We start from the raw sequence: 24,563 nt of genomic DNA on the forward strand, positions 1-24,563 counted from the left end.
TGAGATTGTGCCATTGCACTCCAGCCTAGGCGACAGAGCAACATTCTGTCTCAAAAAAAAAAAAAAAAAAAAAGGATTTGGTGTGCAAGGCTAAAACATATAGAATGGTACAGCTGAGCTACCTGGAAAAGGGGTAATTACAGTCTAGAGTGATTTTTTTTCAGAGTGACCCAGGCAAAGTTGTCCTGGGAGTGATCTCCAAAGCTAGAAGGAGATCACCAATACTGAGGACACCACTCTGCTGATTTTGTAAATAATCTAATAAGGGCCTGTAAGGATGTTACTGGGGGAAGAGGGTGAGAGGTAAGGCCTTATACCATTAACAGAGTAGATGGTATAAGTACAGAGTAGATGGTATAGTACTCGGCTAAAGTACTTTAAATCTCCCTCAAATCAAACCTTCCTCTTCACATCCCAAGCAATATGTGTGTAAAAAGACAATCTTATCTTCAGAAAACAATGTTAAACAAGGAGTCAGAAGATGCAGTCTAGTCATAGTTTTTAAAAAATCACAGATCTGTGATTTCTTTGTGATCCAGTTTCTTCATCAATAAAACCAAGACTATCACTAATCCTAGCATAACTTGCAGTCATTTTACAAAGGTGAAATGAGAAATAGTCATATATGCTTTAACATTCTAAAGCTCAGTAATTATAATCACTAGTAAAATGTTAATATTAAATATTAAGTGAGATTTGATTTACAACATATAGATACAATAAACCTTAATATCATTCTATTATTTTGAATATGGTACGCCTATTATGTAGTCTCAATGTTATATTACCAATTATGCAACCATTACATTAACAGAATAACTCATAAAGAAAACAATTGTATTTACTTACATTTCTAGTCCATGCTAAGCGGTCTGTGTTAAAACCCATCACGTTCATGAGACAAGTCACAAATAAATTCCACTCTGAGTGATAACTGGGTCCTACTGGAGCACTGTGGACATTGTACCACTTGACAAGCATCTGAACTGCTATTTCTTTTGGCAGGATAAACTTAATTGTTTGCAAACATGTTTGTACTATTAAAAGCAAAGATTAATTTTAGTATTCTTACTCTGCATGCATTTCTTTTCCCCTTTCAATAACCAAGTTTTTTTAACTTCTACTATGTAAAGGCCAATTATTATGAAAAGAAAACTGTCATTAAAGAGCCAATGAGATGCAAGCATTACCTAACCCATCATCTGAAACTAAAACCAACTACTGAATTCAACAGGGCTTGAAAGGGGTCTGAAGACAGCTTTTTTTTTTTTTTTTTGAGAGAGTGTCTCGCTCTGTTGCCCAGGCTGGAGTGCTGTGGTGCGGTCTTGGCACACTGCAACTTCTGCCTCCTGAGTTCAAGCGATTCTCCTGCCTCAGCCACCAAGTAGCCGGGATTACAGGCGTCTGCCACTGCCCCAGGCTAATTTTTGTATTTTTAGTAGAGACCATGTTTCACCATGTTGGCCAGGCTGGTCTCAAACTCCTGACCTCATGATCCACCCGCCTTGGCCTCCCAAAGCACTGGGATTACAGGTGTGAGCCACTGTGCCCAGCCAAGGACAGCTTTTTGATCATTAATTTTGCATCAGAAATAAAGTAACCAAATAGCCCAGTTTGCCAGAGACAGTCCTGATTTACATCCATTGCCCAGCAATTACTAACTGCTCCCCTTCACTCTTAAAGATGTTCTAGCTCGGGTGACAAATTAAAAGTCACTATGGGCCAGGCATGGTGACTCACGCCTGTAATCTAAGCACTTTGCGAGGTCAAGGTGGGTGGATCACCTGAGGTCAGGAGTTCGAAACCAGCCTGACCAACATGGTGAAACCCCATTTCTACTAAAAATACAAAAATTAGTTGGGCATTGTGGCAGGCACCTGTAATCCCAGCTACTCAGGAGGCTGAGGCAGGAGAATCACCTGAACCCGGGAGGCAGAGGTTGCAGTGAGCCAAGATCACGCCATTGCACTCCAGCCTGGATGACTACAGCGAAACTGTCTCAAAAAAAAAAAAATCACTATGAAAAACATACAACTTCTATGTTTATACATTTATATAAAATACTGCCTACATACTTCAGTAAATATATAATATTCAATATATGCATCCACGAATAGCAATGCTTAGCTAGCATTACATGATGTTCTAAATGACTTAACATGCCTATTAACCAAAGCTTTATAACTTTATTTCTGATGTCATTCAGTTTCTAAAATGTTTCACATGCTCTCTGCCTTAAAAGGGTTAAGAGTTGATACCACATAATTTACAACACTCTTTTTTTGGTAAGCGGAAACAGGGTCTTCCTCTGTCCCCAGGCTGGAGTGCAGTGGTGCAATTATAACTCACTGTCACCTCCAGCTCCTGGGCTCAAGTGGTCCACCAGCTCAAGCTTCCCAAGTAGCAAGGACTACAGATGCATGCCAGCATGCCTGGCTGATTTTATTTTTCTTTCTGTAGAGACCGAGTCTCACTATGTTGTCCAAGCTGGTCTCAAACTCCTGGCCTCAAGCAATCCCCTCACCTCAGCCTTCCAAAGGGAGGGGATTACAAGCACGAGCCCACCACACCTGGCCTTATACCATTCTCAGTGGCTCCACATCAATTATAGCACTACACTGTCATACAATGATCCCCTCAGAGTGGCCAGGGCTACCACTGTGAAGAGACCCAAATCTGCTTTTAGTAGTAAATAATCCCAAACTGCAATGTTTGTGTACTCACATATCCTCTCTTCCAGGATTCTTTTTTCCCTTTCCACTGTCATGCCACTGGGCCCACCCTCATCAGCATATCCTCTATCCCGTCAGTTTGCAATATGCAAACTCACACAGCACAGGTTGGAAGCAAATAATATTAAAATACCATATAACCAAGTATGTCATAGCTGAATCCAAAATAAGTGTAAACCCAATGCTGCATGAGTGTGTGAGAACCCTTTGCAGGTAAAGTACATAAACTTATGTGCATAAACTATGGGGCTTCTATTTGGCTATAAAGGGGTAAGATTTTTTGTTTTTATTTATTTAATTTCTTCCATTATTATTTGTTTTTATATATTTTGCTTAGGCTTATCATACTTCTAGGTACCTGGCCTTGTGATTACGAAATACCTTTTAGAAGGCAAGGAATCTCTATAGCAACTTGGAATACCATTTACCAGCAGTGAAGATTCCTAAAATGAAAAAGTCATTCTTGTCTACAATCTGCCAATGTCCTGCTTTGGCAGTTAGATTGGAAACCAAGATATGTCATGAACTTCCTTATATCATACAGGCATTCTTTTCTTAACCTACGTTTGTTGGCAAATCCCTTCAATTCTAACATTTTGTTTACTAAGCTATGTTCAGAAATATTCTCCTCTAGCATTTTTGAAATTGCATCTCAGGAATAATTCAAGCAGAATCCAATATTTATTAAGATAATTCTGATTGTATTTTGACAATAATATTAAGTTTTATTCAATTAAGGCAATTAGGTTACTTTCACAATTTATCTGAAAATTGAGATATTTATTTTAAAATTAAAAACATCATTAATACATTACAGAAAAAAAACATTAAATATGCCAAGAATTATCTTAGTCGCTTAGGCTTCCAGTTTCCCAGATGTTCTTGCAAGAGGCATGTCCATATATATACATATAAATATATATATATATATATTTTTTTTTTTTCTTTTGAGACTGAGTCTCACTCTATCACCTAGGCTGGAGTGCAGTGGCACGATCTTGGCTCACTGCAACCTCCGCATTCTGGGTTCAAGCAATTCTCCTGCCTCAGACTCCCAAGTAGCTGAGATTACAGAAGTGCACCACCACACCCCGCTGATTTTTGTATTTTCAGTAGAGAAAGGGTTTCACCACGTTGGCCAGGCTGGTCTCGAACTACCGACCTCAAGCGATCCACCTGCCTCAGTCTCACAAAATGTTGGGATTACAGGTGTGAGCCACCATGCCCAGCAGGCATGTCCATATATTATTATACTGCACAATATTCCCCAACAGAAGAACCTCAGGGAACAGAACTAGCACATCCTTCACCTGTACTCCAGCCTTAGAGCACACATAGAGTGGACATCACAAAGCACTCCCTAGCTCTTTAAAGCTCCTCTACAAAGCTAAGAACTTGATCCAGTGGCTTCAAAAATGGCAAAATAATGTTTAAAACCCCAGTTATTAATGTAAATCACAATTACTTCATGTCTTATAAATGAAACTTCTCAATCGTACCTAACTCAGAGGTGGCAATTTCAGGAACAGTGATCCTAACCATGGAGCCATTACTCAGTTCCTAGATGGAAACAAATGAGAAAGTAAATAAAATCTGTGCATTCTAAGTCTTTGAATGTCTTAAAAATAGCTGGTACAAGACTTTGCCCATCAAAGCAATAAAATAAATGAAAAACAATTTTCAAACAGAAATGAACACTTCCAAACTTCAGAAACTTTAAATGTAATTATTTGCAAAATGTTTTCCAAAATGCTTGTTTTAATAAAAAGTGTCTAATCTTTATACAGTGAGTCACCATCATCAAAAGGACATTTAGTTTTAATGAGATGACAAAAAATCACATCAATATACAATTCAACTGACTCAACAAGCTTTTGTTTTCATGAAGTTTTTAATAATACAGAAACTGTAGAAAACAAGCAGAATTACTGTATAGTAAAAAGTAAAATAGTGCCAAAAAATGACACAATAGATTTTTTTAAATCATGAGAAATGTTTGTTGTCATTTTTCAGACAAAATTCTGTATTCTGTCAAATTTGAAATGCCAGCCCACTTCTTGGAAAGCTACCAAATGTTTGTACTTACTAGGGTGACTCTGTTATGGACAGGATCTCTGATAGAATCAATGTAAGTTCCAAGCTGTTGGAAAGTACAATCCTCATTATAGAGAGAATCATGAAGTTTTGAAGAATCCCTCAGTTCTGGAACTGGGAACAACAGAAGAACCTGTAAAAAGTCGTAAATACAATACAAATGAATTCTTTTCTGAGAAATTAAGGACAAGGAAATTTAACTATTTCTTTTTTGCATATGGTCTAACAAACAATAATATGTAATGATTCAAAAACATTCTGCTCCAAGCCAAGCATGGTGGTGCACACCTGTATAGTCCCAGCTACTCAGAAGACTGAGACAGGAGAATCACTTAAGCCTAGGAATTTGAGGCTGTAGTGAGCCTGTGAATAGTCACTGCCCTCCAGCCTGGATGACACGGCAAGACCCAGGCTCTTTAAAACATTTTGTTCCAGATACAATGAAGTACCAGCAAACCAAGGTCCTCACAGGAAACAGCTAGAAAAGGTAGGTAAAAGGAAAACATCTGATTGGTGGCTGTGGAAAAGCTGTGGAAGCAACCTGGACTTGAGGGACCAAGATCTAGGAGAGAAGGCAACTGCAGGGAAAGGGGCCAACGTTCTTGGAGAACCTTGCTTTTTCTGCTCTGGCCATCTGCAAATTTTGGTGGTAAGAGGAACATATGGAAAGGCTGACAATATGCAAGGAAAGTCATAGCTAAGAGGGAGAGAAGCCAGCAGCACTGTTAGCAACCTTACAGGGCTAAAGACTAAACTGTGAGCCGGGGCACGCGGTGGCTCATGCCTATAATCCCAGCACTTTGGGAGGCTGAGGTGGGCGGATCACTTGAGGTCAAGAGTTCAAGACCAGCCTGGCCAACATAGTGAAACCCCACCTCTACTAAAAATACAAAAATTAGCCAGGTGTGGTGGTGGGTGCCTGTAGTCCCAGCTATTTGGGAGGCTGAGGCAGGAGAATCGCTTGAACCCAGGAGGTGGAGGTTGCAGTACGGTGAGATTGCCCCACTTTACTCCAGTCTAGATGACAGGGCAAGACTCCATCTCAAAAAAAAAAAACTAAACTGTGATTTGAGGCAGCTGAGGAACTAAGAGCCCAGGAAGAAAGGACAGTAATGAAAAAGCCAACAAATGAGACCAGTATTTAGTGGTATTTCCCCTATAGGCAATTATTTATTCAAAAATACAGGAACAGCATTTATTTGCTTAACTGCAGATATGCAAACAAAAAATTTAAATGGTCTTAGTTACTATCTACATGCAGATGCTTCCAATCTTAATCTCTAGTCATGACCACTGATCCTTTTTTGATTCCTTTAATTCAATTTATATATCTCTAAGTGAATATCTTGTCAACACTGACAATCAAGACTAAGATGTATTTATTCTATTCCAGATTCTACTCTAAAAGTCACCAGGAAAAATTCAGCTCCACTGGTCCTGGCTCTAAGTCTACTAGCAAAATCTTCCAGAGAAGTGGAAAAGCCATCAGCCAATGTGTCAGACTATCATTTCCATGACCTTACACCTATCAAAAAGGCACTATTACCAGGCTTATAGAATTCTAAAAAAGCTGGAAACCATTTTCCATTATAAAAGAAATTCTTCCAAATCACACAAAACACTCTGACACTTCTCCAGTTCCCCCTTTGAATGTTCTGCAAATGTGCTGGTTTGAAGGAAAAAAAATTCAATGTGGCACATGTTTAAAAATATAATGAAGACATAGACATTATCAAATACAACAGATAGCACTAACCTTCCCTTTGAACCGTCCCTAAACATCCACACTCACATGTCCTTTAAATACAAACCACTTTTCTCCAGGCTTCCTAACTTGGTAAATCCAGGTACCTTCCCAGGTCGTTCAGAGAATTCGGAGCCTCCTTCCACATCACCTTTCCCCAGCCCAGCAGCACAAAACCAATCAGCTGACAAACTCATTTCCACCTCTCAAGGCCTCTCATATTAATCCCTCCTTTCCACACATATACTGCCCTAGCTCAGACCCTCTTCATACTTCTTAAACTGACACAGACAACCTCACTTGGAGGCTAACTGGTCTCCTTATCTTGAATCCCAAAATACACCTATTTACAACACAGATCCAAAACCTCATAACTCCTTTCTCAAAATCCTGTAATGCCCTGTCAATTGCATTCAGAAGAAAACCACATTTTCATCCTTTCTCCCTTTAAGAGCACATTAGTAAGAGTGTAAATCCCAGTTCTACCACTTAGTAGGTTTATTTCATTTGTAACCTCTATCTCATTTGTAAAAAAAAGAATCATAGTACTATCTTCTCAATAAAGCTGTTCTAAGGAAATAATTATTACTAATAAAGCACTGAGAACAATGCCTAGCACATAGAAAATGCTCAAAAAAGGTTATTATTGTTATCCAATCCCTATCCTGCCTCACCCTACAGACTACTTGTACTTTTATAAGTATTTATTCTACAGATTTATTCAGTCCTTATGACTAGGAGATGAAGATACAAATATCCATTAAAAAATGTTCCGCATTATCTGGCCTTCCTGCCTGTGCCTGTGGAGTTTCTCCTTGCCCTGAATGCTCCTTTCTACCTACAGATATCCTACTCATCCCCAAGGTCCAAACGAAGACTGACATGTCTCTCAGAGATGAGGCTTTGATTTTGCCATGTCCTCCCATTGGATGTTATCTTCCCATCAGTCAATCAACGATGGTACTCTCTTTTCCACATTACTGAGTCATGAGTCTTTCTTAAATTCTAATTTCTTATGCAGACAGTACATCAACTCCACACAATTGTGAGATCCCTAGATGGAAAAGAATGTATCATTTCCATCTCTCCAGCACCTTCAAAAAGTATCACATACATCACAAGGGAGGTCAGTGTATGTTAACTGAATCACTTCTGTTTGAAAACATTTATTCTGCAAGTAGAAACTAAAATTAAGTTAACCATGGAAAGAACTAATGTTTAACCAAACTTCTTTAAAAAATGTTAACTTTTTGGCAGCACCTAGTCCTTTTCTTACCTCGTCCAATGATCCAAGGAGTTTACTAAGAGGCTTTGGAGCACTAACGCCATCAAGTGAAGTACTGGGCTGAGGCATTGTGTTGGACATCGTCAGAGAGGGAGCTGGCAGTCCAGGAATAAAAACCTTTCCCACCTTTAAGCAATAAAAACATGTGAAAAAAAAATACTGCCTTTAATGCATCACATCCTTAAATAAAATGTTAAGGAATATAAACATATATTTCTTTTGATATTTCTAAGTTTATGCTCACCAAACACAGCAAAGAAACAATTCAAATGTCAATAATCTATCCAATTCCACTATCCAACTGCAAATATGTTGGTATAATTTCTTTTTTTTTTTTTTTTGAGATAAGATCTCACTCTTTCCCTGTGGCTGGAGTACAGTGGCATGATCTCAGCTCACTGCAGCCTCAACCTACCAGGCTCAAGTGATCCTCCCACTTCAGCCTCCTGAGTAGCTGGAACTACAGGCACATGCCACTATGCCTGGTTAATTTTGTATTTTTTGGTAGAGACAGGGTTTCACCATGTTATCCAGGCTGGTCTTGAACTTCTGGGCTGAAGCCATCTGCCCACCTAGACCTCTCATACCTTGGTATAATTTCTCTTGGTTGGATTCCTTCTCTTCATTACTGAAGACTTTTTTGGAAGGCAAGGAGAGGAATGTTAATATAGTCAGCACATTATACAAAAATCTGTACACTATGTACTCTTCTACCTTATTGGTCATAAAGACAGTAAGAACAGCGGCCGGGTGCGGTGGCCCACGCCTGTAATCCTAACACTTTGGGAAGCCGAGGCAGGCGGATCACAAGGTCAGGAGTTCAAGAGCATCCTGCCTAACACAGTGAAACCCCATCTCTACTAAAAATTAAAAAAAAAAAAATTAGCCGGGCATGGTGGCAGGCACCTGTAGTCCCAGCTACTCTGAGGCTGAGGCAGGAGAATGGTGTGAACCCAGCAGGCGGAACTTGCAGTGAGCCGAGATCGCGCCACTGCACTCCAGCCCGGGCAACAAGAATGAAACTCTGTCTCAAAAAAAAAAAAAAAAAAAAAGAATGAGTTGACAATCCGTGCTAACCACTCCTTATTTTGGCTATCTGTAGGGTACTTAGCAAAAACAGAAATTCACATCTGTACAGGCTGAAAACTTGATAAGACTAAAAAGGAGATGCTCAGAACTAAAATGAGATCTTAACAATGTACATATTCATGTTAACACACTACTCAACAGCTAACAAAATAACAGAAGTTGCCCCAATAAAATCCTTAGGCTTAAAAAACAAAAATAACAGTGAGAACTAATTATGCATAATTTTTTAAAAGCTATCTCAAACCCCTAATTTACGAAAAGATGGAATAAGCACATACCATGCTATTCCCTCATTAATCACCAAAAAGAAAAAAAAAACTGAATAAAATTTATAATGCAACTAACAGAAGATTCTGAAAAAGTGAAGAAAAGAAGACAAACTGGCTAGTAACCTGAGACCCAGGAATGACCTAATGATGAATTCCCTAGGTTTCTGGTTTTTTTGACTCCTTACATAACCAGGCCTCAGGCTTTCAAAGTGCCTATAACGCAGACATGCCAACGTTCACAGACAAAACACGCCCTAAGAAAATCTTACTCTTTCCAGCCAAAGTGTTGGGAAAAGAATGACCGACCAGGACAGAAACTTTTCACTATATCTGCCCTACTCTTTACAAACACTATGAAAAAAGTCATGGCCGTCCCTTCCTCCTCATCAGGAGGCACAGTGAAAATTTTGAATGTCCCTCGTCTATTTGAGGAAGTCCCCTTCTATTTCTAGATGCTGAGGTTTTTTTTCATCACGGATATTTGATTTTATCAAATGATTTCTCTGCATCTATTTAGATCCTTGGTCAGCAAACCATGTTCCATGACCAAATCTGGCTTGTATCCTGTTTTTGTACAGTCTGTGAGCTAAGAATAGGTTTTATGTACTTAAATGGTTAAGGAAAAAAAAAAACAGAAGACAAATATGTAATAGAGACTGCATGTGGCCCATAGAGGCTAAGTTACTTGTCTGAACTCCTACATAAAAAGTTTGCCAGGCTGGATGTGGTGGCTCATGTCTGTAATATCCCAGCACTTTGGGAGGCTGAGGTGGGAGGATCGCTTGAGTCAGGAGGTCATGGGTGCAGTGAGCTGTGATGCCACCACTGCACTCCAGCCTGAGTAACAGAACGAGATACTGTATCAAAAAAAAGAAGAGAAAAGAAATTGCCAAGGATGGAGAGGACATGAACAACATTATCAACAAAATGGAATGAACTGACATTTACAAAATACTCAAGGGTGCCTTCTTGGTGATATAGCCCTTTAAAGCCTCTCTTTGTTCCTGGTCATTTTTTTTTCCCCACTTTATAGCAACTCCAGCTATCTTTTGATTACTGTTTGCATAATATATCTTCTTTCCATCCTTTAACTTACCTATGTCATTATATTTGAAGAACACTTCTTATAACCAACATATATAGTTGGGCTATATTTTCTAATCTCTTCTGCTAGTCTCTGTTATTTGTGTTAGACCATTGTATTTAATTAGTGGCCTAGTGGGATTTAAATCTGCCATTTAATGTTTGTTTTCTGTATGTTCCCACTTTCTTTGCTCATCCAGAAGAAGCAACTCTTCCAGTTTGATCATAAGATTTTGGCAATTCTGTTCAAGTTTGGCAATTCTGTTCATGTTTAATCATAAGATCTTGGCAATTTAGTCACATCTTCAGTCTCTACTTCTAATTCTAATTCTCTTGCTATTTCCACCACATCTGCAGTGACTTCCTCCACTAAAGTTTTGAGCCCCTCAAAGTCACCCATGAGGGTTGGAATCAAGTTCTTCCAAATTCCTGTTTATGTTGATATTTTGTCCTGATTTCCCAGGTAGATGTCCTCAAACTTCGTGCTTAAATAAGCCCTTCAAAGTTCTATTCTAATCCCTTTGATTATTTCAGGTTGACGGACTAGAGGTTGCTGTGTGTGTATGTGTATCACTATGTTGTCACCTGACAAATGACAAGGTTCATAAGTTTAGAAAAGAGAGCTTTATTTCTCATAAAGGGTTGCAGCCTGCAGGTGGCCATTCTGACAGGTCAGGAAGCATGGACTGTAGCCAGCAGCCCTTCAAGGGAGGGGTTAAGGAAACAGCAATTTACTCTGAGTGGGTTGGCCATGTATATATATTCAACAGGTTATAAGAGGAGCTATGAATATTCATGAAAAGGAAGCACAGGCATAGTAGGCTAATGAATGCAACATGCATCCTATGTTCAACTTTAGATGTTGTATTAGTCAGGGCTTTCCAGACGGACAGAACTAATAGGATATATGTATATATGAAAGGAAGTTTATCAGGGGGAACTGGCTCACATGATCACAAGGTGAAGTCCCATGATAGGCCATCTGCAAGCTAAGGAAGAAGGAAGCCAGTAGTGGCTCAGTCCCAGTCCAAAAGCCTCAAAAGCAGGGCAGCCAACAGTGCAGTTTTCAGTCTGTGGCCAAAGGCCCAAGAGCCCCCAGCAAACCACTCACGTAAGCCCAAGAGTCCAAAGGCCGAGGAACCTGGAGTCTGATGTCCAAGGGCAGGAGGAGTGGAAGGAAGCATCCAGCCTGGGAGGAAGGTGAAAGCCAGAAGGCGCAGCAAGCCAGCTTAGCCCACTTTCTTCCACCTGCTTCCTTCTAGCCGAGATGGTAGCCGATTGAATGGTGCCCACCCACATTAAGGGTTGGTCTTCCTCTCCCAGTCCACTGTCTCAAATGTCAATCTCCTCTGGCAACATAGACACAGTGAGAAACAAGACTTTACCAGCCATCTAGGCATCCTTCAATCCAATCAAGTTGACACCTAATATTAACTGTCACAGATGGTTAACCTAATGTATTACAATTAGGCCCTATACATCAAAAGGTGAAGCAGAGGACATGAAGGCCCTCTGTGTGCAACCTCTGTAGACTGGCCAGAACCACTCCTGTGGGCAGTGGTTTCTTATCAGGAAGGAACGTTGGTCAGTGTTGAAATTACAAAATGGAGAACCAGTCACATGGTTGGTTGAAGTTAGCAGTGGAGCATATTTTTTTTTTGGCGGGGGGGTGGGGGGCGGTACAGAGTCTCTTTTTGTTGCCCAGGCTGGAGTGCAGTGGTGCAATGACAGCTCTGCAGCCTCGGCCTCTATCTCCCCAGCTCAAGCAATCCTCCCACCTCGACGTCTCAAGTAGCTGAGACTACAGGCATGTACCATCATGCCCGGCTAATTTTTTTTTGAGACGGAGTTTTGCTCTTGTTGCCCAGGCTGGAGTGCAATGGCGTGATCTTGGCTCACTGCAACCTCTGACTCCTGGGTTCTAGTGATTCTCCTGTCTCAGCCTCCTGAGTAGCTGGGATTACAGGCACATGCCACCATGCCTGGCTAATTTTTGTATTTTTAGTAGAGACGGGGTTTCCTAATATTGGTCAGGCTGGTCTCAAACTCCTGACCTCAGGTGATCCACCTGCCTCAGCCTCCCAAAGTGCTGGGATTACAGGCATGAGCCATGTGCCTCGCCTTGCCCGGCTAATTTTTTTAAATTTTTTTTGTAGAGATGGGGTCTCACTATGTTGCCCAGGCTGATTTCAAACTCCTGGACTCAAGCAATGCTTCCCTGTCTCAGCCTCTCCAAGTGTTGGGATTACAGGCATGAGCCACTGAGCCTAGCCAGAGAATCTTTTTTCTGGTTTCCGGTTTTTGTTTAACCCTTAGGGAGGAAAGCCTAGTGGCAGTTAGCGAGGTGGGGTGGGGTAGTACAATGAGGTATGTCTAAAGTCCCATCCTGTCATGGCTAGAAACTTAGTTTTTATGTTTTCTCTGGGGTCCCCTTGGCCAAGATGGGATCTGTTCAGTTGGTTGGGGGGCTTAGTAATTTACTTTTATTTCCCAGTGTTCATGTCTGTGATTGTGAATGGGAGCTGCACATCAATGTGTTTGCACACACATTGTTGCATGTTTGCATGACACACAAGTTTGCATGTCTATTTAATGTTCTACACGTTCACAACCTAATTAATACTCATGGCTCAGCATTCACAGTGCAGAAGGAGCTTTCCTAACACTGGGGAAAGTAAAATTACAAGTTTGTTTACCCTGATAACAAAACCACTCTGAGTTTTTGTTTGAACCATGAATAAAACTGCACCAGGGTGAAATTTTGCATGTGGCTACTCCTTCTAGTCTCTTTTCCTTAGGACCCTGCAACCTAGAGTGTTGATTCTTCAGAGGGACCTTCAGTTCTAGAATGATCCACAGTATTAATAAACCTTTGAATGGCGTGGACTAGCTTCCACTTAGGATGTTACAAAGCTCATTGGGTCAGAGCCCTTGGGCTGGCAGGCCTGGTCACCTATTGGGGAAATGACCAGTTCTGAGCTTTTCAGGTTCGAGGGCAAATCAGCCACTTGGTGGTGGGAAGTTAAGGGGGTATGATTTGGGAAATATATATTTGGTCTTCATCCTGTTTCCTGAGATATAGCTTCGAAAATCTTTGGAATCTCCAAAGTGATAAGTCTTTTTGTATGCTACTAGGTTGACTGATGACTGGGGGTCCTGGATAGCTTCTGAATGGTGCTGGTCACAGAAAGACCAAGACAGGATGAGAGGGTTGGGACTAAAAATGTAAGCCCCACCCTCCAACCTCTAGGGAGGGGGAGGGGCAGAAGGTTGAGTTGATCACCGAATGGCCAATGATCTAATCAATCACGCCTAAGTAGTGAAGCCTCCATAAAAACCCAAAAGCAGGTGCGGTGGCTCACGCCTGTAATCCCAGCACTTTGGGAGGCTGAAGTGGGCGGATCACGAGGTCAGGAGCGTGAGACCAGCGTGGCCAACATAGTGAAACCCCATCTCTATTAAAAACACAAAAATTAGCCTGGCGTGGTGGAGTGTGCCTGTAGTCCCAGCTACTAGGGAGGCTGAGGCACGAGAATTGCTTGAACCTAGGAGGCAGTGGTTGCGGTGAGCCAAGAAGGCACCACTGCACTCCAGCCTGGGCAACAGAGCGAGACTCCAAACAAAACAAAACAAAACAAAAAACCCCAAAAGGACAGGGCTTGGAGAGCTTCTGGACAGCTGAACACATGGAGGTTCCTGGAAGGTGGCAGGCCAGGGAGGGTATGGAAGCTCCAAGCCTCTTCCCCCAAACCTCACCCCATGCATCTCTTCATCTATATCCTTTGTAGTATCCTTTATAATAAAGCAGTAAATGTAAGTAAGTTTTTCCTTGAATTCTGTGAGCCACTATAGCAAATTAATTAAACCCAAGGAGGTGGGCTTAAGAACTCCAATTTCTAACCACTTGGTCAGAAGCACAGGTAAAACGACATGGGGCTTGTGGTTGGCATCAGAAATGGGAGATAGTCTTGTGGGACTGAGCCCTCAGCCTGTGGGATCTGACACTTTCTCAGGTAAGTAGTGTCAGAATTGAATTTAAGGCTGGGCGTGATAGCTTATGCCTGTAATCCCAGCACTCTGGGAGGCCGAGGTGGGTGGATCACTTGAGGTCAGGAGTTCAAGACCAGCCTGGCCAACATGGTGAAACCCCGTCTCTACTAAAAATACAAAAATTAGCCAGGCATGGTGGCAGGCACCTGTAATCCCAGCTACTCGGGAGGCTGAGGCATGACAATCACTTGAACCCAGGAGGTGGAGGTTGCAGTGAGCTGAGATCGCGCCACTGCACTCCAGCCTGGGTGATAGAGAGATACTCAGTATCAAAAACAAACAAACAAGGCCGGGTGCGGTGGCTCAAGCCTGTAATCCCAGCACTTTGGGAGGCCGAGGCGGGCGGATCACAAGGTCAGGAGATCGAGACCATCCTGGCTAACATGGTGAAACCCCGTCTCTACTAAAAATACAAAAAAATCAGCTGGGCGTGGTGGCGGGCGCCTGTAGTCCCAGCTACTCGGGAGGCTGAGGCAGGAGAATGGCATGAACCCGGGAGGCGGATCTTGCAGTGAGCCGAGATCGCGCCACTACACTCCAGCCTGGGCGAGAGAGCAAGACTCTGTCTCAAAAAAACAAACAAACAAAAACAAAAACGAAAAACCCCAAAGAATTGAATTTAATTAGCGAACACTCAGCTGGTGTCACCTCCTGGAGGATTGACATGTGGGGAAAAACTCCCATACATCTGAGGTCACAGAAATATTTCATGCTGTGAGAGTACAGGGAAAACAGAGTTTGTTTTCCTTTATGTTCTCAGAGGCTATTCCAAAAGGCAGGCAGAGCATCTCCCTACCCCCCACCTCCTTATTCCAGCTCCAGGGTTGCTTCTCACCATTCCTGCCTTAAGGACAACCCAAGCAGAGGCATCCTGCCACCGTTTAGTCACCTTATACCCAATGTACACAGACACTTGTATCTGTATCCTATGAATCAGGGGACCCAGGAGGTGGGTCCCGCTCTACCTGAATCAGAACTAGCAGCAACACTGGCCAATTCTGCTCTAGACACCTACCTGGGAGGAAGAGAACTCTGTCAGCGGGTCAGGCAGCTTGAGCCACCTGTGGGACAAGGAAGCCAGAACTCAGCCCAGACACATGCCTGCCCAGCTCCCTGGACAAGGGCAGGAGCCATCCTTCCCTCCAGACCCTCCTTTTTCCACTGTACTTTAGCCTGGGCAACAGAGCGAGACTCCATCTCAAAAAAAAAAAAAAAAGAATTATTAATGTTGTTGGGTGTGGAGCCTTATGCCTGTAATCCCAGCACTTTGGGAGGCCAAGGCGGGAGGATTGCTTGAGGCCAGGAGTTCAGCACCAGCCTGGGCAACATGGTGACACCCCCATCTTTACAAAAAATGTTTAAAAATTAGTTGGGGGTGATGGTCTGTACCTGTAGTCCTAGCTACCTGGGAGGCTGAGGTGGGAGGATGACTTGAGGCCAGGAGCTGGAGGCAGCAGTGAACTATGATTTCAACACTGCACTCCAGCCTGGGCAACAGAGGGAGACCCTGTCTCAAACAAACAGAAAAGAATTCTTTTTTTTTTTTTTTTGAGTTAGACTCTTGCTCTGTCACCCAGGCTGGAGTGCAGTGGAGCGATCTCAGCTTACTGCAACCTCTGCTTCCCTGGTTCAAGTGATTCTCGTGCCTCAGCCTCTCAAATAGCCGGGATTACAGGCGTGTGCCACCATGCCTGGCTGATTTTTGTATTTTTAGTAGAGATGGGATTTCACCATGTTGGCCAGGCTGGTCTTGAACTCCTGACCTCAAGTGATCTGCCCGCCTTGGCCTCCCAAAGTACTGGGATTACAGGCAAGAGCCACCGTGCCCAGCCTGGAAAATATTTTTTTTTTTTTTTGAGATGGAGTCTCACTGTGTCACCCAGCCTGGAGTGCAATGGCGCGATCTTGGCTCGCTGCAACCTCTGCCTCCCGGGTTCAAGCCATTCTCCTGCCTCAGCCTCCTGACAAGCTAGGATTACAGGCACCCACCACCACACTCGTCTAATTTTTTTTTTTTTTTTCAGTATAGACGGAGTTTCACCACGTTGGCCAGGCTGGTCTCTAACTCCCGACCTCAGGTGATCCGCCTGCCTCGGCCTTCCAAAATGTTGGGATTACAGGTGTGAGCCACCGCGCCAGGCCAAGAATTCTTAGCTGATAAAAGACGGTTAACTATCGTAAGTGGTTCAAGAGGACTATAAGGCAGGGGCTGACAAACTTTTTCTGTAAAGGGCCAGATAGGTAATATTTTAGGCTTTGTAGGCAAGAGGCACAATCAAAGACATTAGGCAGGTCCTCATATAACAACACAGAAGCAAATGTCCACATTTTTTTAAACATGAAATTCAAAATAAAATAATGAGTACACGTTTTGGAATAACGTCCTATTAATGAAAAGAATGGGATCCATTTTGCTGGGATAACATTTTGCCTAGTTGAGGTTCCAATGTAAAATCTTCTCAGATCGAGGGCAGTAAAAAAGCTGGATTTGATCTGCAGGTGGTAGTGTGCCGGCCCTCCAAGCCCTATCTATGGGGTGGAGGGGTGGTGAACAAGGAACTGAGAAACTTGGAAGAGGGTCTGTCCCCTACAACTGAGATTCAGACCTCTGCAGAGAAAACCAGGTCACACAGTCCACCAAGGACAAAGAAATTTGTTAGAGGACACAGGACACGGACACGGACGAGGACGGATGGACACCGCCCGCCCCCCCCCCAAGAAAAGGGCCAACTTAGGCAAAGTTTTTCCACCTGCCACTTCACAATGACCCTCCAGCGCCCTCTACTGGCAGAGACTAGCATCAAGCCAGCTGGCAAACCAGAGGCGTCCTTTAAGGTCCTGTTTTGCAGAGCAAAAAGACTGCTTGGAGCTCAGAGGCAAATAATTCCGTAACTTGCACAGGGATATTCACAGTGAGGCAAATAAAATTTTCCCCAACTTGTTGCTTGTCTTTAAAAGTATTTATTAGAAAGCCGGGCGCAGTGGCTCACACCTGTAATCCCAGCGCTCTGGGAGACCAAGTCGGGTGGATCCCGAGGTCAGGAGTTTGGGACCAGCCTGACCAACGTGGTGAAACCCCGTCTCTACTAAAAATACAAAAATTTGCCGGTCATGGTGGTGGGCACCTGTAATCCCAGCTACTCAGGAGGCTGAGGCAGGAGAATCACTTGAACCCAGGAGGCGGGGGTTGCAGTGAGCCGAGATCGCACCATCGCACTCCAGCCTGGGCGACAGAGCAAAATGCCATCTCAACAACAAAAAGAAAAAAAAAGAAAAGAAAAAAAAAGAAGTTAGTCAACTGCAACCTGTTCCCCACCCACTCAGTTCTCTGATCCCAGAACCCACAGTTATCAGTGCATTGTGTATCTTTCAGAGCTGTTTGATGCACACATACAATGCTTTATTTTTAAAATTTCCATTTTACAAATTTTACAACAAAATCTTCCACTTTACACAAATTTAAAATATCTCGGCAGTTACATCTATTAATTTTTCTTTGATGGTTTCTGGCTTGTGTTTTATTTAGGAAGGCCATCCATACTTCAAGATTTAAAATACTTTTCCCATATTTTCTTTGAATATTTTTATATTTTAGTTTTTACACATATATCTGTAAACCATCTGGGTTTTAATATTTGAATAAGAGTGTGAGGTGCCGATTAGATTTTATTTTCTTCCAAGCAGGTGGCCATTTAACTGCTTCAGTGTTATCTAATCCATCCTTTCCAGTGGATTCAAATGATTTAATACTGGGGCCCCCAGTCCGCAGTCATCAGTAACAACTGCCGAGGATGGCTTCATCCCACAGGTCCCTCTCCTCTGGGCCTTCCCTGCCTGACCCCTTCTTCTCTCTCCCAGACCTTCTCACCTCTTTTGCGGCATCCCCACCCTGGTGATTCTTCTTGCTGCGTCTGGGCCTCTCTGCACTGCCTGGCGCCCCCTCGGCCTTCCTCCTGCCCCTGTTCCCTTTGTGTGAGTCTCCCTTCGCGCGGTGCTTCCTCTTGGGCTCTGCTTGCTCCTCCCCGGCCGCTCTTCGTCCTCCCACCTCCCCGTGCCTCCTCCTCAGGCCTCGGTCCCCACGGTCCGCCTGCTGGGCGCTGCCGCGGGGCTCCCAGAAGAGGCAACAGGAACCTTCCCTGCCGTGCGCCCCGCGGACGCCTGTGTTCTCTCCCTGCCCAGATGGGCTTGGAAGCCACCGGAGTTTGAAGAAATGGTCCTGATTATTTTGACTGTGGTTTACAGATTCCAGTCTTCGTGGCGCATAAGGAATTTCAGGCCAGGGAGGTACCCGGCTTTCCACGGTCCTCAGTCTTTCCAAGGAAGCGGGGAACACGTGGGGCCTCCAGAAGGGGAGTCCCTGCTGCTCCGGCCCCCGAGGCTCAGTGGGGCCCCTTTCTTGGCACGCGGAGTCCTCCGTCACCTTTGTAAAGCAAAGGGTTGGTTGCAATCCTCTGGCTTTCTGCTTTCTAATATAATCCTCCAGTTCATGTTGAAAAGAGTCAGAAGTCTTAGAATTTTCCATTATATTGATTACGGATGAATCTGTTAGGGAAAATGGGGGGAAGCTTTCTGTTAAATGTATTATTTTGCTATGATTTTTTTTGTGTGTCCTAAAAAAAAGATCAGACTCCAATTTCTAGGGGAGGTTATGTTATGTAATATACTGTAAGTACTACATAGTCACTGATGTTGAAAATATTTTTGACATAGACTGAGAATCATGAAATATAATGGACTAAGAAAATGAGCCTTAAAACACTGTGTACATTTGAGGATCTATATAAAATAAATAAATATAACACATATAGATAGGCATATGATTTATCAGTGGTTACCCCAGGTGTAGGGGGAATTTAGATAATTTTAGTCTTACTTAATTGTTCTGGATTTTTGCCAAAAATACTATCACTTGTGTGATAAAAAAAGAAAATTAAGTTGTTTCAAGAAAATAGACAAGCAACTAAATTAATCTAAAATCATTCATAAATTCTACAAAAACAGAACAAGCTAGTCCTGTGCTTATTATATGCCAAGAAAGAAATAATAGAGAGATAATTAAACATATTTCCAGGTCACTCACATTCCATCTATTTTAAATCTAATAGCTGAGGTGAAAAAACAGAGGAAGATGCTATTTATTGTGTTAAACTCCCAAACTATGATTATTCTTTCTTTCTTTTTTTTTTAACAAATGAAGAAACTGAGTCACAGAGAATTTGGGTTGCTTACTTAAGGTCACGCACAGCCAAAAAGTACAGGCAGGATTTAAACCCAGGGAGAGAGGGTTCAGAGCCTGCTTGCTCAGTCATACTCTGTAGCTCAGAATGCTTTTCATCTCTGAGATTGGTATCAACCTTATAGGTGTTGTGGGGACTAAGACAGTGACTACAACTGAAGCACTAGGGATGCAGCAAGTGGCCAGTGACTTGTAGCTATTAATGTTCTCATTAAGATGCAGGAATGAGGACAAGTAGCATTAAATATTTTACTAGCAGTCTTATTCTGAGAACTCGCCTCCATTTTAGTTTACTAATTTCTTTTTTCTTTCTTTTTTTTTTTTTTTGAGTCAGGGTCACTCAGGCTGGAGTGCAATGGCATGATCACGGCTCACTGAAGCCTCGAACTCCTGGGAGACACCCACTACTCGACACCTCACAGCCAGCACCATCAGCAGATCCTGCCAACTGCTCTATTTTCAAAACTCGGCCGGCGGGATGCGGTGGCTCACACCTGTAATCCCAGCACTTTGGGAGGCCGAGGCGGGCGGATCACCTGAGGTCAGGAGTTCGAGACCAGCCTGACCAACATGGAGAAACCCCGTCTCTACTAAATATACAAAATTAGCCGGGTGTGGTGGCACATGCCTGTAATCCCAGCTACTCGGGAGGCTGAGGCAGGAGAATCGCTTGAACCCGGGAGGTGGAGGTTGTGGTGAGCCGAGATCGTGCCATTGCACTCCAGCCTGGGCAAAAAGAGCGAAACTCCGTCTCAAAAAAAAACAAAAAACAAAAAACAAAAAACGAAAAACAAAAAAACTTGTCCAGAATCTGACCACTTCTACTTAAACTGCTCTTGTCTGGGCCAGGGTGCCACATGTCCCCTGGATCAGGGCAGTCACCCTTCACTGGTCTTCCAGCACCTGCTCAATGAGCCTATTTCCAAACCAGCTGCCAGGATAACCATTTTAATGTGATGTCATCCTGGCTATCTCAAAACCAGTAGAGAGCTCAAAATCCTTTGCTCAAAACCATCAGAGGGCCGGGGGCGGTGGCTCATGCCTGTTATCCCAGCATTTTGGGAGGCCAAGGTGGGCGGATCACCTGAGGTCAGGAGTTCAAGACCAGCCTGGCCAACATGGTGAAACTCCGTCTCTACTAAAAATACAAAAATTAGCCGGGTGTGGTGGCAGGCGCCTGTAATCCCAGCTACTCAGAAGGCTAAGGCAGGAGAATCGCTTGAACCCAGGAGGTGGAGGCGACAGAGCGAGACTCTGTCCCAAAACAAACAACAAAAAAAGCATTAGAGAGCTCCTCCATCCCTCCCTCAGAAGGAAGCCCAGATTCCCACGGTGCCTACAAGGCCTGACACTGTGGGTCACTCCCTGTCCTGAGGCCTCCAGTTTCTCTCTGACTACCATCCTCTTGCTCCTCCTGTCCAGCCACACTCGTCTCCCAGCTGGAAGGCAGCAGAGAAGCACACCCTGGCCTCAGGTCCTCCCCGTCCCTAACCCTGCAAAGCTCTTTACCTCTGCACCCACACTGGAAGCCCCCTTGCCTCCCTGGTCTTAGCTGGAAATGTCACCTTCTCAGAGTTTTGACGACCCTCCCCATGGGACACCCTCTGCCCCTTCCCTGCTTGATTTTCCTCCAGGACATCACCATTCCCTAATAGAGTGCTTTATGATACTGAGATATCTCGAGGGTTTTGAGACAGGGTCTTGCGCTGTTGCTCAGGCCGGAGTGCAGTGGCACAATCACAGCTCACTGCAGCCTTGACCTCCTGGGCTAAAGTAATCGATTACTCAATTACTCCCACCTCAGCCACCTGAGTATCTGGGACCACAGGCGCACGTGACCACGCCCGGTTCATTTTTTGTATTTTTAGTAGAGATGGGGTTTTGCCATGTTGCCCAGGCTGGTCTGGATCTGCTGGACTCAAGCAATCCAACCATTTTGGCTTCCCAAAGTGCTGGGATTACAGGCGTGAGCCACTGCGCCCAGCAGAGCTGTTAAGATGCTGGTTCTCTTGGCTGGGTGTGGTGGCTCACCCCTGAAATCCCAGCACTCTGGGAGGCCGAGGTGGGAGGATCACTGAAGGTCGGCATTTAAGACCAGCCTGGCCAACATGGTGAAACCTCATCTCTACTAAAAATACAAAAATTAGCTGGGCATGGTAGTACGCCTGTAGTCCCAGCTACTTGGGAGGCTCAGGCAGGAGAATCACTTGAACCTGGGAGGCGGAGGTTGCAGTGACCCAAAATGGCGACACTGCACTCCAGCCTGGGCAACAGAGGGAGACTCCGCCTCATGGGTAGAGATTCCTTGACTGCTGTTTCCTCAACATGTCAAATTGTGCTTGACGTAGATGCTTAATAAATACTTGCTGAATGAATACATGAGTGAAGAAAGGCCCTGACCTCTCCCAACATGTTTAGTTCCACTAAGAACCCCAGATCTAAGGAGTCCTACCCACTTCAGCTGTGCGTCCCACACAGCCTCCTCTCATTTGCCCCTCAGCCGTCTTCCATAACAACTAGTCATCCAAACGCCGCCAAACGTCTGGTTCACCTCTTACCTGGAATCACTGCCATGCATTAGTTTACTGAGAGAAATTTCCACAAAACAGATGGAACCCTCACACCCTTTAGACTACAGTCGTCGGGGCCCCACAGAGTGCAGAGGCCCACCTGGTTAGATAGAACTCAGAAGCAAATTAGGAGCTCTAGCACGGCGCGGGGAGCTTTACTCTGAGCTCCAGGAGAATTCCAGCTTCCTCGCTGCTTACCAGTCCCAGGAAGCAGGAAGCCACACCCCCTCCTTCGCCCCCGCCTCTTTGGTTTTAGGCCTTCTCTTCCCACAGCTCCATTCTCAGGAGAAACAAATTCAATTACAGACACTAAAGTGATTTAGGAACGCCCAAGTTTATCGCCTTGGAACGCAATCAGCCTATAACCTAATCAGTATTATTAAATCCTGTCTGAAGAGTTTATCTTGAAAAAAATTTAATAAAACACTAATTCTTAATTTGTGAAATATAGCATACATGCAGAAGTGTGCACGAAACGAAAATCTACAGCACAATGGTTTATCACTAAGACAAAGTCCATCCAACCACCATTCAGGTCAGCAAACAGAACCGAGCCACATGCCAGATGTGTCTCCTTTCCCTCCTAACCTTAACTGTCCCTTTGTCCCCCACTAGCCTGTGTTTTGGGGGGAAATCTCATCGTTGCTTTTCTGGATAGTTTATTACTTACATGCAAGACTCGAAATACTATAGTTTTGCCTGTTTTTTGGAATGTACTTTATGTAAATGGAATTGTACACTGCACTTTTTTGTACAGTGTATTTCTGAATTTTACCACGTTCATTTTCACAGCTGTATGGTATTCTATTCTTGAAAAAAAGTATATATATTTCATATATTCACACATATATGTGTGTGCATTATGTATATATGTGTGTGTATATAGATAGAGGGATATTAACAGATTATTGATCTGTTCAAGGGCATTGTGACTGTCCCAAGTCCAGGCCATTTTAAACAACACTGTCATGAATATTCTTGTATATACTTCCTGATATACATAAACTTGCATTACTACAGAGTGTTTACCTAGAAGTGGGATTTCTGTGCTACACAACATGGTGTATTCAGCTTTATCAGACATAGTAATACCAAAGGTTTTTCAAAAGAGGTTAATACCAATTTTTTTTTTTTGAGACAGAATTTCACTCTTGTTGCCCAGGCTGGAGTGCAGTGGCGTGATCTCAGCTCACTGCAGCCTCGGCCTCCCGGGTTCAAGCAGTTCTCCTCCTCAGCCTCCGGAGTAGCTGGGATTACAGGTGCCCACCACCATGCCTGGCTTATTTTTTGTATTTATTTTATTTATTTATTTTTTTGAGACGAAGTCTTGCTGTGTCACCCAGGCTGGAGTGCAGGGGTGTGATCTCAGCTCACTGCAACCTCTGCCTCCCAGGTTCAAGCGATTCTTCTGCCTCAGCCTCCTGAGTAGCTGGGACTACAGGCACACGCCACCATACCTGGCTAATTTTTGTATTTTTGGTAGAGATGTGGTTTCACCATATTGGCCAGGCTGGTCTCGAACTCCTGACCTCGTGATCCGCCCGCCTCGGACTCCCAAAGTGCTGGGATTACAGGCGTGAGCCACCGCGCCCACCCAGTTAATATCAATTTACATCCTTCCCCCAGCAGTGTTTGGGGGCTTCACATTCTTTCCAACACTTGTAATTGTCAAACCTTGAATTCCATATCTAATTGTGATTTTAATCAACATTTCCTGTTTACAATGGTACTGAGTACCTTCTTTATGTCTATTGGCCAGTGTTTTTCTCTTTTGTGCCACGGGGGTCCAGGTCTCTAGAACATTCTTGTGTTGGGTCGTTTGCATTTTTTGCTTATCTGTCTTCTAAGAATGAGCCCTCTGCTGGCTCTGTGTGTTGTGGAGATCTCCCACTGTTTGCCTTGTATTTTCATTCCCTGGGTGGTGGTATCTTTTGATGGACACTTAATGTTGTCCAACATAGGAATCAAACTTAACAGGCATAGTGCTTTTTTTTTGTTTTGTTTTTTTTGAGATGGAGTCTCCCTCTGTCACCCAGGCTGGAGTGCAGTGGCTCTATCTCGGCTCACTGCAACCTCTGCCTCCCGAGAGGGATAGTGCTTTTTAATGTCATGTTTAAGATATATTTTCCTAATCCTAGACCAGGGTTTCTCCACCTGGCACTGATGACATTTTGGGTCAGATGATTCTTTGTTGAGAGGGGCTGTCCTGTGCATTATAGGATGTTTAGCAGCATCCGTGGCCTCTACCCACTAGATAACAGTAGCAACTCCCTTCCAACCTAGTTGTGACAACCAAAAATGTCATCAGACATTGCCAGAAGTCCCCATGTTTCAGAAACATTGCCATAGATCATAAACATATTCTCATATGACGCCTTATAAAAGCTTCATAGTGGGCCAGTGCGGTGGCT

General features: G+C 43.6%; 1 protein-coding gene and 2 pseudogenes across 2 annotated transcripts in view, besides 3 other annotated features; all 3 read right to left on the bottom strand.

Moving 5' to 3' along the window:
• Positions 1 to 4,941, bottom strand: part of RGPD2 (RANBP2 like and GRIP domain containing 2) — a 233,859-nt gene extending 228,918 nt beyond the window's left edge. For both annotated transcript variants that reach the window (XM_047445734.1, XM_017004845.2), the window contains exons 1-3: positions 4,819 to 4,941; positions 4,232 to 4,292; positions 850 to 1,037 (exon numbers count right to left, since the gene is read on the bottom strand). In XM_047445734.1, the coding sequence (XP_047301690.1) occupies positions 850 to 1,037; positions 4,232 to 4,274 (231 nt within the window). In that variant the 5' untranslated portion in view covers positions 4,275 to 4,292; positions 4,819 to 4,941. The remainder of the gene's footprint in view (positions 1 to 849; positions 1,038 to 4,231; positions 4,293 to 4,818) is intronic.
• On the bottom strand, positions 850 to 7,982 carry ANAPC1P5 (ANAPC1 pseudogene 5; annotated as a pseudogene).
• Positions 17,873 to 18,445: an enhancer, noted in NCBI's record as "H3K4me1 hESC enhancer chr2:88302269-88302841 (GRCh37/hg19 assembly coordinates)". NCBI's record gives its function as "activates a minimal SCP1, AML or CMV promoter by ChIP-STARR-seq in primed H9 embryonic stem cells {active_cell/tissue: H9 hESC(primed)}" and the evidence as "EXISTENCE:reporter gene assay evidence [ECO:0000049][PMID:30033119]".
• LOC100419917 (lysine-rich coiled-coil 1 pseudogene) lies at positions 18,131 to 18,862 on the bottom strand (annotated as a pseudogene).
• Positions 18,446 to 19,017: an enhancer, noted in NCBI's record as "H3K4me1 hESC enhancer chr2:88302842-88303413 (GRCh37/hg19 assembly coordinates)". NCBI's record gives its function as "activates a minimal SCP1, AML or CMV promoter by ChIP-STARR-seq in naive and primed H9 embryonic stem cells {active_cell/tissue: H9 hESC(naive and primed)}" and the evidence as "EXISTENCE:reporter gene assay evidence [ECO:0000049][PMID:30033119]".
• Positions 22,193 to 22,487: an enhancer, noted in NCBI's record as "tiled region #1338; K562 Activating non-DNase unmatched - State 23:Low". NCBI's record gives its function as "activates a minimal TATA promoter and a strong SV40 promoter by Sharpr-MPRA in K562 cells {active_cell/tissue: K562}" and the evidence as "EXISTENCE:reporter gene assay evidence [ECO:0000049][PMID:27701403]".

The sequence above is a fragment of the Homo sapiens genome, chromosome 2, assembly GCF_000001405.40.
Source record: "Homo sapiens chromosome 2, GRCh38.p14 Primary Assembly".
Taxonomy (NCBI): Eukaryota; Metazoa; Chordata; class Mammalia; order Primates; family Hominidae; genus Homo; species Homo sapiens.